The sequence below is a fragment of the Homo sapiens genome, chromosome 10 (genome assembly GCF_000001405.40).
Source record: "Homo sapiens chromosome 10, GRCh38.p14 Primary Assembly".
Lineage (NCBI taxonomy): Eukaryota > Metazoa > Chordata > Mammalia > Primates > Hominidae > Homo > Homo sapiens.
This window is the reverse complement of record NC_000010.11, coordinates 103884316-103901863: the sequence shown is the minus strand read 5'-3', so window position 1 is coordinate 103901863 and position 17548 is coordinate 103884316. Positions and strand designations below refer to the sequence as shown.

General features: G+C 42.3%; 1 protein-coding gene across 1 annotated transcript in view; it reads left to right on the top strand.

Moving 5' to 3' along the window:
- STN1 (STN1 subunit of CST complex) overlaps positions 1–17548 on the top strand; it is a 40616-nt gene that overhangs the window by 16321 nt on the left and 6747 nt on the right. The window contains exons 5-9 of the mRNA NM_024928.5: positions 1641–1802; positions 2864–2987; positions 4145–4316; positions 9612–9734; positions 12720–12792. Coding sequence (NP_079204.2) covers positions 1641–1802; positions 2864–2987; positions 4145–4316; positions 9612–9734; positions 12720–12792 — 654 coding nt within the window. The remainder of the gene's footprint in view (positions 1–1640; positions 1803–2863; positions 2988–4144; positions 4317–9611; positions 9735–12719; positions 12793–17548) is intronic.

The following is a 17548-nucleotide window of genomic DNA, read 5'->3' as shown; positions in this document are numbered from 1 at the left end:
AACAGAGAGATTTGATCATTTTTTTCTGGCAAGCATTCTGACAATATGTAATGAACTGTAAACCAGTTTGTAATTTTTTATCCAGTAATAATCTCCAAAGAAAGACCCCCAAAAAACAAGATACTTTTTCTGGAAGGTTTAATTATTCATTATCACAAATAGCTTACATTTATTATTTCCTATAAATATGGAATTGTGCTAAGTGCAGAATGTAAGTGTTCAATTAGATAATGCACAACAACTCTATGTATGAGGTAGACTCTACTGTTATATCCATTTCATAATTGAGGAAACCGAAGCGTAAGTGTAGAAAGGAAACAGGCACAGTGAGGTTAAGCAGGTTAAGCAGCCTGCCCAAGATTACACAGCTAGTAGGAGGTAAACTGAGATTCACGTCAGGTCTTTCTGACTCCAGTAGCCAAAATGCCGATGGCTGAGCTATACTGCCCCCATACAGTGCTAGTGAAAAAAACGAAAGTAAAAATTTATAAAACTGTACCTATAATCCCAGCTACTCAAGAGACTGAGGTGGGAGGATTGCTTGAGGCCAGGAGTTCAATTCCAGCCTGGGCAACATAGTGAGACCCTGTCTCTAATAAACATAAAATGCTTGGCTGTGTAGCTTCTTTGGATACATATGTGTATTTGAAATTATGCTAGACAGGAAAACAGAATACATAGTCTTTTACACCCACCAGCCGTAACTGGGAAATGTGAGTATCTTCCTGGGGCAGGCAGCAGAGAATAAAGGATAAGTGGGATGGCTCTGGAGCTAGAGACTGCCTGGGTTCAAACTCCAGCCTTGTCTCTAACTAGCTGTTCTACTTTGGGCAAGTTGCTTGACCTCTCTGTGACTCAGTTTCCTCTCTAAAATGGGACTAATAATGAGCAGGAGTGGTTGTGAGGACTAAATGTGCTAATACATTGTAAACTCCTTAGAACAGCATCTATAGTACCCAGACATTCGTGACGATTCTTCTTACTTAACTAATACAATTTGGAAGTAAAATAGTGATAGAAGTTATTTAGAATTGAGTGTACATTGGGTTTTTTTCATTATAAAGTTGCTCGAGTTTATAGTTTTAAGTGGTATGAGAGAGAGAAAGTGGAGAAAGTGTGAGAGAGAGAGAGAGTGTGTGTGTGTGTGTGTGAGAGAGAGAGAGAGAGACAGAGAGATTAGCCTAGTTTCCCAACAGAGATGAGAGGTGAGAAATTGGGATGTTGAGCACTCAGATGGGACAAGTCTCCTCGCAAGGACATTTGAAAGGTTGTTTAAAGCTATTGCTGCCACGCCCAGCTGAACTCATTGTACAGAATTTGTCTCAAGGCCATGCAGAGCCCTTTGACTGCACTGGTGATGCAGGGCAGGAAAGAAGGCCCTGGAGCCTGTCGGAACTTGCCCGCTGGACCTCAGTCTAGACTCCGTTCCTTTCACCCCGCTCTTGAATAATTACAGTTTATACCTTGTTCTCAGTGGAGTACTCCAAAAGGTTATGTGGATTTCCAACAGTAGAACAATTACTCAGAAGTAGAATAAATAAGCATATTGTGTTGGTCTTACCCTAAAACTGTCTCACAGATGTGGTAGAGTGATTGTGTTATAACTTTTTCTCTTTCCCTCTGGCTCTAAACAACTACAGCTGCTCCAAGTGCAGCAAGAGAGCTCAGCTTAACCTCACAACTTAAGAAGCTACAAGAGACCATTGAGCAGAAAACAAAGATAGAGATCGGGGACACGATCCGAGTCAGAGGCAGTATCCGCACATACAGAGAAGAGCGAGAGATTCATGCCACCACTTACTGTAAGCACAAGATATTTCTACCAAATTGGTGGTTTTTCTGGATGTGCGTCCAGTAAACCTCTTGTTCAGCTGGAAGTCAAACTTTCAAAAAGTTCAGTTAAGGTATAACTCTATTTAATGAGTGAATTACATTGTTTAACATGCTTTCTTTAGAAAATCAGCATTTCTTACTTTTATTTTGAAGACAGCTAATTATAAGTTGGGAAAGAAAATGAATTATTTACTTTATATATGGTTGGCAAGTTTATTTGGATGACATAGTAGAGTTTCCAAAGCACTTTCAAGTTCAGAATGTCAATCCATTAGGGCAAAATATGAATATTCTTCAAAATAATGGAAATTTCTTTATTTTTTCTTTATTTTTTTTCTTTTTTTGAGACAGAGTCTTACACTGTTGCCCAGGGTGGAATGCAGTGGCACAGTCACAGCCCAATGCAGCCTCAAATTCCTGGGCTCAGGAGATTCTCCCACCTCAGCCTTCTGAGTAGCTGGAACTACAGGCATGCGCCACCACACCCAGCTAATTTTTTGTAGAGATGGGGTTTCGCCATGTTGTCCAGGCTGGTCTCAAATTTCTGAGCTCAAGAGATCCGCCCACCTCAGCCTCCCAGAGTGCTGGGATTACAGCCGTGTGCCACTGTGCCTGGCCAGAAATTTCTTGAATACCATTAAGTCCATTAACTTTAAATGAAAACAGCTAATCAGAAATATGACAGTTCCCCATCATCTTCCCTTTGCACGTGCTGGCTGGTTTTCAGTTGGAAATCTCAAGGACAGCCCCTGCTGTCCACCAGAGGAGCAGACGAATCAATACATTGATGTGCTTTCCTGGTTCCTTGGCCCTGGCCAAGCCCATGACACTTAGGGCATCGCATTCCCTCATGCAGGATGACTGGGAGCCATTTAGTGCATCTAGACTGTGATCCCTGGGCACTCACAAGGAAGGAGGCCCACCCAGCACCTCATTTACTGTTGTCTTAGCAGCAGTTTGGGCCTGGGAAAGAATTGATCTCAATGTAATTTGTAATTTCTGTAGCATCTTTTTTCTGGTCACTTGTTAGATAAAGTGGACGACCCAGTGTGGAACATTCAAATTGCAAGGATGCTTGAGCTGCCCACTATCTACAGGAAAGTTTATGACCAGCCTTTTCACAGCTCAGCCCTAGAGAAAGAAGAGGCACTAAGGTAAGTGGTGACTTATCACTGCTGAGCACGTGACCACGGCAGAAAACTGAAGCAGCTGAGCCCAGATGCTGGGATCGGCCTAGGTTCAAATCCCGAATCATCCACCTATGCACTGTGGGGCTCTGGGCAAGCCCTCTAACCCTCTCTATGCTTCAATTTCCTCAACTGTAACATGAAGAGAATAATAGCACAGATGTCCTAGGGTTGTCGTGAGGAAATTATGGGTGTAATTGGAGTCACTGAAGGAGGAGTGGAGGCAGGAGCAGAGAAAAACACTTGGAAGAAATAATAATGCCTGACATTTTTCCAAGTTTGATAAAAACTTTAAACTCACAGATCCAGGAAGCTCAATGAACCCCAAGGCAAGAAACCTGAAGAAAAATGCACCAAGTCACCTCATAATCAAAATATGATACCATAGCACGTCATAATCAAAAACCTGTTTTAAAAAAACCTGCACCGGTCATTCTCAACCAGGGATGATTTTACTTTTTTATAGGGGAGAAAACCCAGGAGGAATGAGAATGTGTGCATATTTGCTAATATGTGCATAAAAGAACTCTGAGAGGAGACACAGAGAACCGGTAACAGCAGCTCCCTCGGGGGTGGGGACCGGAGGATAGGACAGGAAGGGGACAGAAAGGAGACTTTACTGTGTATCCTTTAATGTTTTTTAACATGAATATATTATATATTCAAAAAAGTATATTAAAAGCACAACTATAGACTCATATAAAAAGTGAAAATTCTCCATTTTCCTGTCTCCTGCCTCAGGACCATTCCCCAGAGATTACCAATGTTCATAAGCCAATGTGTGTCTTTTTAAATTAGTTTCTTCTGTGCTTACACAAGCATGAATATTCACCCATAGATTTTGTGGGTTTCCATTTTTTTTATATAAAAATAGGACCATACCTTACATGCTGTTCTGCAGTTTGACTTTTTTCTCCTAATCTGTCATGAATATCTTAGTTCCTGTAGTTCTGCCTCATCATTTTAAACAACCACATGATGTTCCCTGTATATATTACTCTGTATATGAAAAACAAACTCCAATATAGTGTTGCATTTTCTAGCTAATTTTCTGGTTTTTATACACCAAAAAGGAACAAAGGTGATGGTTTTCTGCAGAGCTCTTTAAAACTTTCCCTCCGCAGCAATCCAGGCGCCCTGGACCTCCCCAGTCTCACGAGTTTGCTGAGTGAAAAAGCCAAAGAATTCCTCATGGAGAACAGAGTGCAGAGCTTTTACCAGCAGGAGCTGGAAATGGTGGAGTCTTTGCTGTCCCTTGCCAATCAGCCTGTGATTCACAGTGCCTCCTCCGACCAAGTGAGTGCAGCATGCCCATGTGAGAATTCTGGTTCCCTGCCCCAGATCTGCAACTGCAGGTGTGGGTGAAAGTGACTGTGGCATGAAGATTCACAGAGTTGACCCAGGGAACGGAGGGAATGGTTCTGTCACACATTATTTCTATTCTGGAAAGGTCATTGACTACTAAGAACTTGAAATGAGGCATAAGGCTGGACCTGCCCCTTCTTCCTCCTTACCTAATCTTTTTTTTTTCGGAGACAGAGTCTCACTCTGTCGCCCAGGCTGGTGCTTCTCCTGCCTTGGCCTCACAAGTAACTGGGACCACAGGCATGTGCCATCACGCCTGGCTAACCAAGATAACTTTTTCTAAGAGGAATAAAAAATTAAAGAATAAAAAATTACTTAAGTGTTCCTTGAAATTTTACTTACAAATGAGTCTGAATACAACTCGGTCTTTATTTAAACTCCTAAAACACAATGGGTTAATCTTATTCTGAAAAAGACAGAGCAAGTCATTAAAAACCATGGTTCAAGTTCGCGAATCATTTTGCTGATGAATAAATCATCTTGGATGGATAATTACCTCCTCTCATCTACTTCCCTGTCACTTGGCTTCTGCTGAGATTAAACATCCATCTCAATGAATACTAACAACCTACTACTATGGACCTTAGACTATTATTATTTTTTTCTACTCAAATATTAAGCATAATAAGATTAAGTAACGAGGGGCCAGGCGCAGTGGCTCACGCCTGTAATCCCAGCATTTTGGGAGGTCAAGGTGGGCAGATCACTTGAGGCCAGGAGTTCAAGACCAGCCTAGCCAAAATGGTGAAATCTTGTCTCTACTAAAAATACAAAAATTAGACAGGGTCTCACTCTGGGTGACCCTGACCCCTGACTGTCACCCGGAGTGAGACCTTGTCCCAACAAAAAAAAAAGAAAAAGTTATCTCCATGTTTTTACCCCTAGTTTTATTTGGGTAACTTGTTTTGTTGCTTGGTGTTGACGTATTGCTTGGAATTAAGAATTATTTGAGACATTGATTTTAGGCTTTCCCTTTCATTGCAGTTCTTAGGTTTGTTGTTGTTGTAACGTGACTCATTTATTTACTTTCTTTATCCCACCAGGGAATGATCTCAGCTTAAATGTCCCTCCTTGCCCTCCCTGGCCGTCTAGCTGCTCTGATTGCCACGTGGCCCCTCACCCTTACACCCTGTTTTTGTATCTGACGTCACTGGTCTTTATTTGTTTGCTTGCCTATTCCTCCATCAGAATTTAAGTTCTGTGAGAGCAGAGGACTTGTCTGTCTTATTCTTTGCTCTCTACCCAGGGCCTAGAACGGGGCTGGCATAAAGCAGGTTCTCACTCATTATTTGCTGATTGAAGGAATGAATGATTTTTAAAAATTCAAATTGTCCCACAAAGTGTAAAGGTAAAGGTCAGTTTCTTTCCCATCCTCCCTCTCACTCCCTTTCCCCTGAGACAAGCACCAGTACTAGTGTCTGGAATATCATTCTGGAGATAGTCTGTGCTTGTGTGTACTCTAAGTCACTGTAGCCCCTTCTGTTTCACACAGATGGTAGCATGGCGTAGTATACTATGAGACACCACACTTTTCATTGACGTATGTCTCACAGATTCTTTCCTAGCCGTACATATAGGTTGGCCCCTACAGTCTTTGTCACATGTACCATCATGTATATGACCAGTCTGTCCATTCCTGGACTGTTTAGATGTTTTCTGATCTCTTGCCATCACCAACAAGGCTGCTGTGAACACCCTTGCTAGGTAACATAAGTTCTTGATTTTGGTGGAACAGATACTGAGTCACATCCTGACTTCCTGGGCATGACCACTGCTTCTCAGTTTTGTTTGTGCTCCTAATTATCTCTTCTGGGCAACAGCCTGATGTGCCCAGTGACCCATGGTTTCATACGAGGAGATGAGGGATATCGTTTCAGAAAACACCAAAGTGGAAAGGGTCACGACTGGCTGCTTTGTTCTTTGCCAAGGTTGCTTCTAAACAGTTGCAGCGCTCCAGCTGTCGGCTGACAGCAAGATTGACCTTCTTCCCACTTAATCATTTAGAGGCGGCTCAAAGCCAAATTGACCTCCTAGGACTTCTGATGATTCTATCAGCATGTTTGGATAGAAACTTTAAAGCTTAGCGAAGACCATATTTTTCACATGAAGCCAGCTCTTCCGTGATAGCTATAATTAAGTAGAGAGAGAGACTTAAGGACTCTTTGAGGACTAAAAGACTCCTCCATTCAAAATGATCTGTGGGGAACCTTTGGCATATCTTTTTGAAAATGCTTACAGCAGAAACTTGTGTCTGCCTGGTGCTATATGTTTAAAAAGAATCGAATATGGCACTATATTTGTTTTGTCTTTGGAAACTCTTTTTTCTATCAATTATGAATTAGTCCCTCACATTGCTCTGGTTGGGGAGGTCAGTGTGATTAAACTGAGTTCTGTTTAATAGATTCCTGGGAGACTAAAGGTGCTTTACAATGAGACTGAAACCCTAGATCCTTTGGCACTTTCTGTTGTCATACAGATGAAAGCTTAACAGAAAAAATCATTGTGATGGTGTTATAGTTTAGAGGCAGAGAGAGAGCAGGCTTGAATGTTTCCTCCTTTTTTTCATAGTGGTCCTTCTTAGCAAATCCAGAAACATGATAAGCAGGGCCTGCAAAACCATTGTTTCTTTGACAGCTGGATGAATGTTGAGTTTGTTTGGGAATGAAGACTATATATATTTCAGGGATCCACCCAGTTCCTGACCTGAGATGAGGCGAGGCTTGGTAAAGCTCAGCACGTTTAGCTAGTGACTGTTTTTTTTTGTTTGTTTGGTTTTTTTTTTTTTTTGCCTGTGAGCAATTTCGGTTTCCTAAATCTGATGAGTCTGTCATTGCTTTTTTGAAAAAGACAAGAAAGACACAGATCCCAGTCCAGGAAAAGCTGCTGGCTGGAAGAGACGATTAGTGGCTTTACCCTTGAGACTATGGTCTTTATAACTAGGCCAGGGAAATATGTCCCAGGGTCAGCTGAGGCAAATGTTTTTGGAAAGGAAGCTTCAAGTATTGTTTATATTTACAGAGAGCCATTTCTGTTGAGTCCTTGCTCACAGCTGAAACTGTGTTTTTAATCTCCTAGGCCTAGCATTGTCTCTTCCTGCTGCTTGATCTGACTGAAATCTGGGAGGGGGAACTAGGCTTTTTATATGGTTTGGGGATAACCAAGAGTCATTTTTAAAGACAGGAATAATCATGTAATACTCATCTCTAGTTAGTTTCCAATTTATTTCTATCTTGCTAAGAGATGTAATAAACCTAACCTTTAGGATCCTTATGTTAAATTGACTAAAGAAGATAGATCTCCTTAGAATTATAAAGATTAAGTAGTTATGAAGGTTTGCAAAGGAGTCTATGTTGCACTGATGGTGCATCCCCTAAGAGCACTCATGTATGAAATTAAAAACAGTTTTGCCCTAAGCCTCGTGAATAAAAAGATGTGTGGCTGAGGATTGCTAGGTGTGGTGTTTATTCTAAACACACCCAGAGAGGTTTTCTGCCTGTGGGAGTTGTCAAATATTTCTCAGCCTTATTCTCCCTTCTGAATGGAAGCTGTCATAACCTGGAATGTTTGTCGGTTTGGGGGCTCTAATGACAAGGTTCTCCAGCTTGTTCTTTTAAGGAAAAACTTAGACTGATAATTCAATTAGTGTGTTAGGCTGTTATTGTTAGCCCAGGAGAACACATTTGTGAAACATCACCAGGATCTATTAGAGTAACAGAAAGCCTGTTTGGGAGGTCTCTTCTAGAAAGAGAAGGTTACTTTGGGACGGACTTGTGAACACTTGAGACCCTGTGGAGGCTCTTTCCTCTCCCCTTGAGGAAATGTCATTAGCAAATCTCAGCCACTCTTTTTCAGCACCTCTGGGTGCTGCCCCACATAGGCTTTGTAAGTACCTTTCAATAGAGGTAGGACTTGGCCTTCAAATGCTTTTCTGGAAGCTTTGCCACATTTGTTTGGAACTCTGATCTTTTCAATATCTTGACAAATTTCTGTCACATTGAAAATGGATCTGTAGGCTGGGCACGGTGGCTCACACCTGTAATCCCAGCACTTTGAGAGGCCGAGGCGGGTGGATCACGAGGTCGGGAGATCGAGACCATCCTGGCTAACATGGTGAAACCCTGTCTCTACTAAAAATACAAAAAATTAGCTGGGCATGGTGGCAGGCGCCTGTAGTCCCAGCTACTCGGGAGGCTGAGGCAGGAGAATGGCATGAATCCAGGAGGTGGAGCTTGCAGTGAGCTGAGATCGCGCCACTGCACTCCAGCCTGGGCGACAGAGACTCTGTCTCAAAAAAAAAAAGGATCTGTACTTTGAAGAGCAATTGTTGTTCGCCCTTTTCTTTGTTTTAGGAAGGAGTGGAAAATCCCCAATGGAATAATAAGAAGAATACACACACTCTAATGTGTATTTGTTTCCATTCATCTCACAGATACTTTATCAGTCACCTAACGTGTGCTAGGGAGGAGGTGGCCAAGATGAAACAAAGTCCCTGACTCAAGAAGCATCCCATCTGGTCAAGCATGGGGGGACATAGCTGATAGCCTAGCTTCCTCGGGGATAAGAAGCAGGATGACCTGGATGACCCTCCCCAGGCAAACGTGTCTCCAGAGAAGTGAAGAGACACTGAAAGTGAGGGGGAGAGCTGACAGCAGCAGAGGTCCCTTCTAGGTGGGGACTGTGCTTCACCAGGACTGCTGTCTACCTTCAGCCTTGTGGACTCCCCTTGGTGGATCTCTGCACAGCCTCTGTTGTCCTCCATTTAAAATAATGAGGCTATTTAATACTTCATGCTGGAATCCCCAAATTATTCCAACATACAAAAAATCTTTGAAGTCCCTAGGAAGAGATTGTATACAGCCTCAATTTTAATGGAAAAGGGGGCTAATATATATATACAGTGTTTTGGTTTTGTATAAAAAATAAGTCAAAGATTGTCCAACAGTGAGGGTAGCTTTTTTTATTCTGCACTATGGAGTGTTGAGTTCATTAAAAAAAAAAAAATCACAACTAAGGTAGGGAACAGTTATGAAAGGTGACCTGCCGGGGCACACTTCTCAGTCCTCCTTAAATACCATCCTGCTAGGCCGGTACATACCAGGATCTTTTTGACTCAGCAGTTAAAAGGCCTGTTGGACAAATTCATGAACCAGTTGGTCTAGGAGTTGTTCTCAGGTGCCGTAAGGTGAGACTTATTTCTTTTCTTTTTTCTTTTTCCTCTCTTTACAGGTGAATTTTAAGAAGGACACCACTTCCAAGGCAATTCATAGTATATTTAAGAATGCTATACAACTGCTGCAGGAAAAAGGACTTGTTTTCCAGAAAGATGATGGTTTTGATAACCTATACTATGTAAGACACTTGCAACTTAACTTTTTTTCTTTGTAGCTTCAATTACAAATATATTTATTACTTATGAATAACCACTTAATTATTCTTAAAAATCATTAAGGAGGTACATAAAATCAGAAGTGAAAGTTGGCCCTTATCCTTCCCCGAGGTATCTCTTTTAATAATACAGTTGACCCATGAACCACACAAGTTTGAATTGCATGGGTCTACTTATATGCAGACTTTTTCAACCAAATGCAGATGGAAAGTACAGTATTTGCAGATGTGAAACCCACATATGAGGGCTAACTTTTTGTACATGCAGGTTTCACAGAGCCAACTTCAGGACTTGAGTGTGTGTGGATTTTGGTATACCTGAGGGTCCTGGAACTGATCCACTGAGTATACCGAGAGATAACTGTATATCCTTCTAGACATTTATCTGTACATTTACAGATGCATACATATACAAATGTGCTCCTGTGGCTTTTTCATTGTTTCCAATCCCTGACTTATGCAAGAACCTTTTTGCTTTATAAAAAATGTGATCATCTTCTAAATTGACACTTCTCAATCTGAACACTATTTGGGGTAGGTGATCGATTGCCATGGGAACTATCCTGTGCATTGCAGGATATTTAGCAGCATGCCTGACCTTCACCTACTAGAGACCAGGAGCAACACCCCAACTGTGGCAACCAAAAATGTCCCTGGACATTGCCGGGTATCTCCTGGGACCATTGAGACTTGCTACTCTAAATAATGCTCTGTACCTTTTTTGGTACCAAGATAACACATGACAGGCACCTTTCCACATTAGTAGTTATAAATCTACCTCGTTCTTTTTAACATCCTCAGGGTATTCCATACTATGGGTACCTGTTGTGTATTTTTTAGACATTCCTTTTTGATGGGTACTTAGGGTATTTCTAACTTTTGCTGTCACAAATGGTGTTGCTGTGGCTATTTTTGCACAACTATATTTGTGAACTCATGTCAGTATTTCTGTAAGATTGACTCTTAAAAGAAGAGCTGCTGGAGCAGAGGGCATGGCCATTTAAGCTTTTGGTCAACACAGTGTGATGGGCCTGCCTGAAGGCTGTACCAGTTGACTCCCAGCAGAAGTGTAGGTGCTTGTTTGCCTCACTCTTTCAAGTTAAAAGTTCACCTTTTGCTGCATACCTTTAATATTGGGAGGAGCTAAGGTGGAAATGGGCCTTCTCAGGACCACTGACATCAGTGGGTGTGGACTCCGTTATGTGCAGCTCTCCCAGAGACTGATCAAATTCTGTGGTATTCCAGAAGTCTCACTATTCACAGGCAAGATTCCTGACGGGGAGCTTTTCTTAATATGACATTTCCTGATGTTGATTTACCCTAGTGACTCCCCTCTTTAGAGAGATTTTAGAAATTACAATACCATTTAAATAACTTTTGAAGCAGGTATCCCAGTCTACATAAGGGCGAGTGCCTCCCACACCGTCCCAGGATGGGAGTCCTGGCATGGGAAGGCCGGGTGGGAGTTGGTTGCTTCCTGGAAGTTGGAGAAGCTATGGGGGCAGCTCACCTTGAGCCCTGCTCTGGGACACACCTTTCCTCCCAGGCCTTTAGAGAGCAGCCCTTCCTGAGGAGCAGCAGTCCAGGGCAAGGCGTGGTGGGGCTGGGTACTTCCTCCTGTGAATCATTGTGATCAAGCACAAATAGATCTCTTGTCGCCATCTCTGACTTCATCTCTCCACTGCTTTGTAGTCACCTTTCTCCTGAAGCCCTGCCTCAGGGAAATGGTTAAAATAAGTCAACACTTCTGTTTGCCTAGTGCTTTCCTAGGTTCAGCAGCTCTCACACATGACCTTGTTTAATCTTCGTCATAACCTTGTGAGCTGAGAGAAGGCAGGTGTTCTCAAGATGCCCCCTCCAGTAAGGCAGGTCAGACAGGCATTCTTGGGCTGTCTTTAAGGAGGAAACTTACAGCTATTTGTTTGCATGCCTATTTTCTTTCTTCCTTTCTTCCTCTCTCTTTTTCTGTTTCTTTTTTTTCTTTCTCTTTCTCTCTTTTTTTGTTACTAGATTCACTGTGGAACATGAAGGTGAAACCTGTTGTGTGCTGCTTCCCTCTTAATCTGAGCTGGTTAAAAAAGACTAAGTTGGCCAGGTGCGGTGGCTCACGCCTATAATCCCAGCACTTTGGGAGGCCAAGTCGGGTGGAATCACTTGAGGTCAGGCATTCGAGACCAGCCTGGTCAACATGGTGAAACCCTCATCTCTACTAAAAATACAAAAATTAGCTGGACGTGGTGGTGCACGCTTGTAATCCCAGCTACTCGGGAGGCTGAGGCGGGAGAATCACTTGAACCTGGGAGGCGGAGGTTGCAGTGAGCTAAGATCGTGCCACTGCACTCCAGCCTGGGCGATAAGAGTGAGATTCCGTCTCAAAAAAAAAAAAAAAAAAAAAAAAGGAAAAAGAAAAAGACTAAGTTATGTCTACCTTTGAGAGCAGAATGTGTTTCAGTGGATAGGCTAGCTTTACTCTCATGCTAGCCTGTCCTTGCAGGGTTTTTTTTTTTTTTTTCTCCTTTTATTTTTCCTTGTGGTTGGGAGAAGCAAGAAAACTGATGCAACACAAGACAGGTGTCAGGGCCCAGAAGAAGGAGTCATGGGGTGGAGATTGGAGGCCTTGATCACTGTGCCTCGCTCAAAACTATAACAACAAATAACAAAAATGTGTTATGAGTGTTGAAGAAGAAAGTTGTCCCTTAAAAGTATGCAATTCCAGCTTTTTTTTTGTTTTAACCTCATTGCCCCAATGAACCAACTCCCAAGGACGTGTCCTCTGGGCAGAACTGGTTTGACACTAGGCCAAGTATCAAACACCACATTAATGGTGTAGGGAAGATGATTATTATGTAATCTTTAGAAACTATCCTGAATACTAATTTGGAAGTCTGGATGACACAACTGCTGTGTTACCTAAGAACACTCTCTCTCTCAACTATTTTTCCTATTTAGGTAACCAGAGAAGACAAAGACCTGCACAGAAAGATCCACCGGATCATTCAGCAGGACTGCCAGAAACCAAATCGTAAGTGGTATAATGTACAAGTGATGCCCTGGTGCCCTGGAAGGGGATACTGTCTCCCGGGGAGCACTGGATGGAGAGTCAGGAGACCCGGGACTTTTCCCAGTAGTGACTTGGAAAGGTGATAGTCAAAGTACCTGCCCTCCCTGAGCCTCCATCTCCTCTCTAAAGGAGTGTTGGGCTAGCACAGTTGTTGTGATCTTGGCTGTACATAAGATTCAACCTTGGAGCCCTCTGAACATTCAGAGCCCAGATTCTACCCTGGGGATTTTGTTTCCATAGAGGATGAGGTGGGGGCTAGACAAGGAATTCTGATACAGTGAGGTCACCACACTAGGACGTTTTGATGTCATTCTGCTTCTCATGTTCTCTCTGATTTGTGTTATTTCCTATTTCATGCTTGCCCCCCTTCTTTGAACACAAACCTGACATTTCCCTCTATTCTAACATCAAAGCCTTTCAGTGTTGGAAGGGATGGTTCTAGACATGACTGTTTATGAACGGTGTAATTCAGTCATCTTGGAAACTGTTAATTTGCAAAAGACATGGTTTAGAAAATAGTTTTGGTAGAGTTAGTTCAGCCCCTAGTGGTTAGACACTGAAACTGTAGCTACTCTGACAAGGAACAATACCATTTCCACACTAGTTAGAGAAGGAAGCATTAGTCTATCTTTAAATCCTATGTAAACTGACCGGTCTTAAAGGCGACTTTTCAAAGTCTAGCTTTTGCAAACACATACTATAATAAGAAGTGTTGGAAAAGTTTGTTAATGACCCCAGGTCCCTGATCTGCCAGTGAACTCCACCTCCAGTCCTTCGGCCCATACATCCCTGGGGCCTGGACCTGTGCCAGGTTGAGTCAGTGGGTGAAGCTGGGCCAGGTTTCCAGCACTGGTGTTTATGGTAGACAGCCCTAGTTAGCCTTTAAGAAACCATGAGGTCGGATCCCAGAGTGGTGTGACAGCAGCTCTTAAAATAAACTCAAAGCAATATATTATTTCAGTGCAAGTGAATGGACTTTGTTCACTTCATTCAGAACAATAAAAGCAAATATCCTTTAGTTGAGGGAAAAGCCCATCTGTCCACAATTGAAGGAGCTTTTGAGAGCAGTGCAATGTGGGATTCCTCAGCCAAGAAGGGATGAGAAGATGCTCCCAAGATAACATCTCTGCAGTCACCCTATTCGCAGGCCTCCTGGCCAGGTTCTTATTTTCATCTGCATTAGGAATAGAATGGATTGAACCCTAGGGCTAGTAAAGCACATGAAAAGAATTCACATTTCATTTGGACTTGGCTCTCTGAAGTGTCCTGAAAGTAGCAGGTTTAACATCTACATCTACCCACAGCTCATCAAGTGGACAGGCCCTGCCACTCAGTCTGTGAATGGGAGCCTCTAAAAGCCACTAGCCAATCACCTGGCACTACTACACTCCCAGGAGCTGAATTCTGAAGCCTGAGCTACTGAGAATGCTGATAAAAGATGTTATAAGGACTGTGTTGGAACCTGCTGTGACCACCCCGCTTCATAATGTTATAACATAGCAATTCAGAATAGTAACGTATGCCCCTCATGAAAAGCCAAGCAGTGCAAAAATCCACTCCAAAAAGCCAGACTCCCTCCCAGCACTGAGCCCCAGCTTCTGTGTTCCCCTCTCCAAAGGCAGTGGTTGTTATTAGTTACTTGCATATCCTGTTGGATATGTGTTTTCTATCAGGGATAAACTATACAGATATGCACTTACAAACATATCATATTATTTATCCTTGACAGAAAACACAAGTGAAGTTTAGCCGACGATATACATTGTCCTACACCTTGTATTTTAGATCTAACATTGCCTTCTAGAGGTCAACAGTACACATGAAAGTGCCTACGTCTTTTCATTAGCTGGACAGCATGCTGTTACATGTATAGGTAAATATCCGACCCTCAGTCTAACCATACCTACTGGGCCTTTAGTTCCTTTCTAGCCTTTCAAACAGAATATAGCCTGGAGTTTTTCCTTGTCAGGATGATTGGTAGAAGGACTTGAAGTCATTTATGAGTGTCTCACAAAGGCTAACCCTTCAATAATGAAAGGACTATGAACATCAAGCCTGTCTTAGGTCCCTGAAGGATTGATACTTGTTCTCTGAAGATGGGCAATGTGGCGGCATTGTGAGGAGCTGTGCTCTGGAGCCACCTTGCCTAGGTTTGAATCCCGGCTTTGCCACTTGCTAGCTGTGTAATGTTGGGCAAGTGCCTTGGGTTCTTTAAATGCAAAGTGGGGATAATAATAGTACCTACAAGATGGGTTTTTATAAGAAGTAAATGAATTGGCATTTAGAAAGTTAGAAGAGTACTCAGTGCATAATTATGATCCAAAAAGTATTAAATAAAAATGAAGTTCTCTTTCCTAATGGCACAAGTGGTAACCCCTAATTCTCTAGCCTGCAGGCCTGAAGGCTCACCCTCTACTTGGTTTAATATTGATCTGGAAGGAGGCAGTTTCAGATAGAATCTGTATGTGGATTTTGCTGTATTATTGTTGGAGTAAAGTTGACAAAATCTGGATTTTGGCTTTCAGTATGGGTACAACAATGGCAAATTATCCAAAAGAGCTCTATGTTGAACATGTCTTTTTATCTCTAACTTTTTACTCTGAAAATATTCCAATTTATCAAAAAAAAAAAAATTAAAAGACTGGTACAATAAACACCGATATACCCTTCACCTAGATTGACTAAAAACTTCAGTTTGTATTTGCTAAGCATGCAGAAATTCTCCTATTTGATCACCAAATCATTTCACACCGAAGAAAATTAACATTTGATGAGTTCCAAAATGGCAGCCTTTCACTAAATGTTACTTTATACCATTAGCTTTTCAAAAATCTCCCATGTATTTAGCTCAGGTTCATTTTTTACTATCCCAGAGCTGGAGAGAACTGCTGCTTTTGGTAGAAACTGAGTACCATATAACACTACTTATACTGGAGGATTTTTTTTTTAAACTTAAGACAAACTTTTAAAAAAGACTTAAAGAAGTTTAACCTTTTGTAGTTATAGTAGTAGGTTATATCTGAAATGTATCTTTATGTCATTTGGGTCTCTAGAACATTAGCCTTTGTGGTTTCTGGTGGAGGTATGATGGGGTATAGTATGAATCAGGCTACATGTGAAAGTTCTTGGGAAAATATAAGGCGCAGTTATCACCGCTCATAGTGATCCGTCATAAGATAACTATGTCTGCCAGGCAAACACTTTTCAGAAAAGTCTGCTTCGGCTTGTGGGTTTGTTCCAGAAGAGTCGAATTATGTAATTGTACTAACCCCTGGGGAGCTCCTTGCTGGCCTTTCCTACTTTTACTGTTTTATAATAATTTCTCACTTAGAGAAGAATCTAAGGCCAGGCACAGTGGCTCACTCCCATAATCCCAATGCTTGGGAGGATTGCTTAGGCCAGGAGTTCGAGACCAGCCTGGGCAACATAGCAAGACCCTGTCTCTACAAAAAATAAAAATTAAAAATAGAGAGGAGTCTAAGTTCACATTACCGAAGTGACTGGAGATCACTTTTGAACAGCCTCACCAGATAACCCTCAGCAGAACAGCCTTTCTGACTAAATAGTTGAAGGCCTCTGAGACAGTCAGCATCACTGCTTTGGGCCCCATGGATGCCTGTAAGTCACCTTGAGCCCTGGGTCCAAGCATCCAGGCCTTGCAGAAACTAAAAGCTGAGCAGCACTAAATTCCCTCTGCTCCTCCCTACCGTGTGCAGGTCTGTGTGGTTGGAGCCCCTCACCCTCCATCATCAAACCTATCCTTGCTTGCTGGTCAGCTCTTCCTCCTTGAGAGGCTTTTCTTCTTGGGAAGGGATGAAGCTTTTCTAGAGCAGGAACTAAGTTACATTCATCTTCTTGGATTACGGATATGATGAACCAAATCATAGTAGTTCCCCCTGGTCTCTCATCCACACAGCCACCCTGAGAAGGAAGTGGTTTTGTTCCCGGGAGTGACTTTGTCCCAGTTGTAGAGCCAGGGCTTGAATTCTGGTGTGGTGGACTCCAGTGGCAGCTCCAGGTCTGCCAAGCTCTACTTGCTCCTCCTTGCTCAGCAATGCACACATAGTAGGTGTTCAGGAAGTCTATGGAGTGAATGTTGAAGAAACAGCCTGGAAGTATAGATGCCAGCAATCCCAGTTGGAAGGAGTAATGAGTGGACACAGCCACTAGAGGTCAGAATTTAGCAAATTTTTGTTAGCCCAGGAGCAGTCTCTGAACCTTAGGGTTGGAAAGGGCCTTGGAAGTGGTTTTCACCACAGCTGAGAACACTCAGGCCTAGGGATGGCTTGCCCAAAGCTACAGAAGTGCACCAAACCTTGAACCGTGCTTTGCCTCACACCGCAATACCTCTTCGAGCACCTTCCTGAAGCCTAAAGCATTTTTCATCTGTAAACAACTTTCAGTGACTTTGTGGAGCACCTTTTGTGTGCCAGATACTGGGTATACGGCAGAGAGAGACCATGCCTGCGCCTGCCATGGAGTTTTAAACTGTGACAACTGGAGAGGGTTTGCTTTTGGTAAAGAAGTTTGACTTTGACTCAAAGTTAGAAATACATTTTACATCATGACCCAATAAATTATATAATTCTAATGCATAAGATGTATATGAAATTAAGTTTCATGAATTAATATGTATCCAAATTACAATGCAAGATATTCTGTAACGTTCTATTTCTGCTCTCTTTGAGTTTGGTAAGAAAAAGTTGCTGATCGCAAC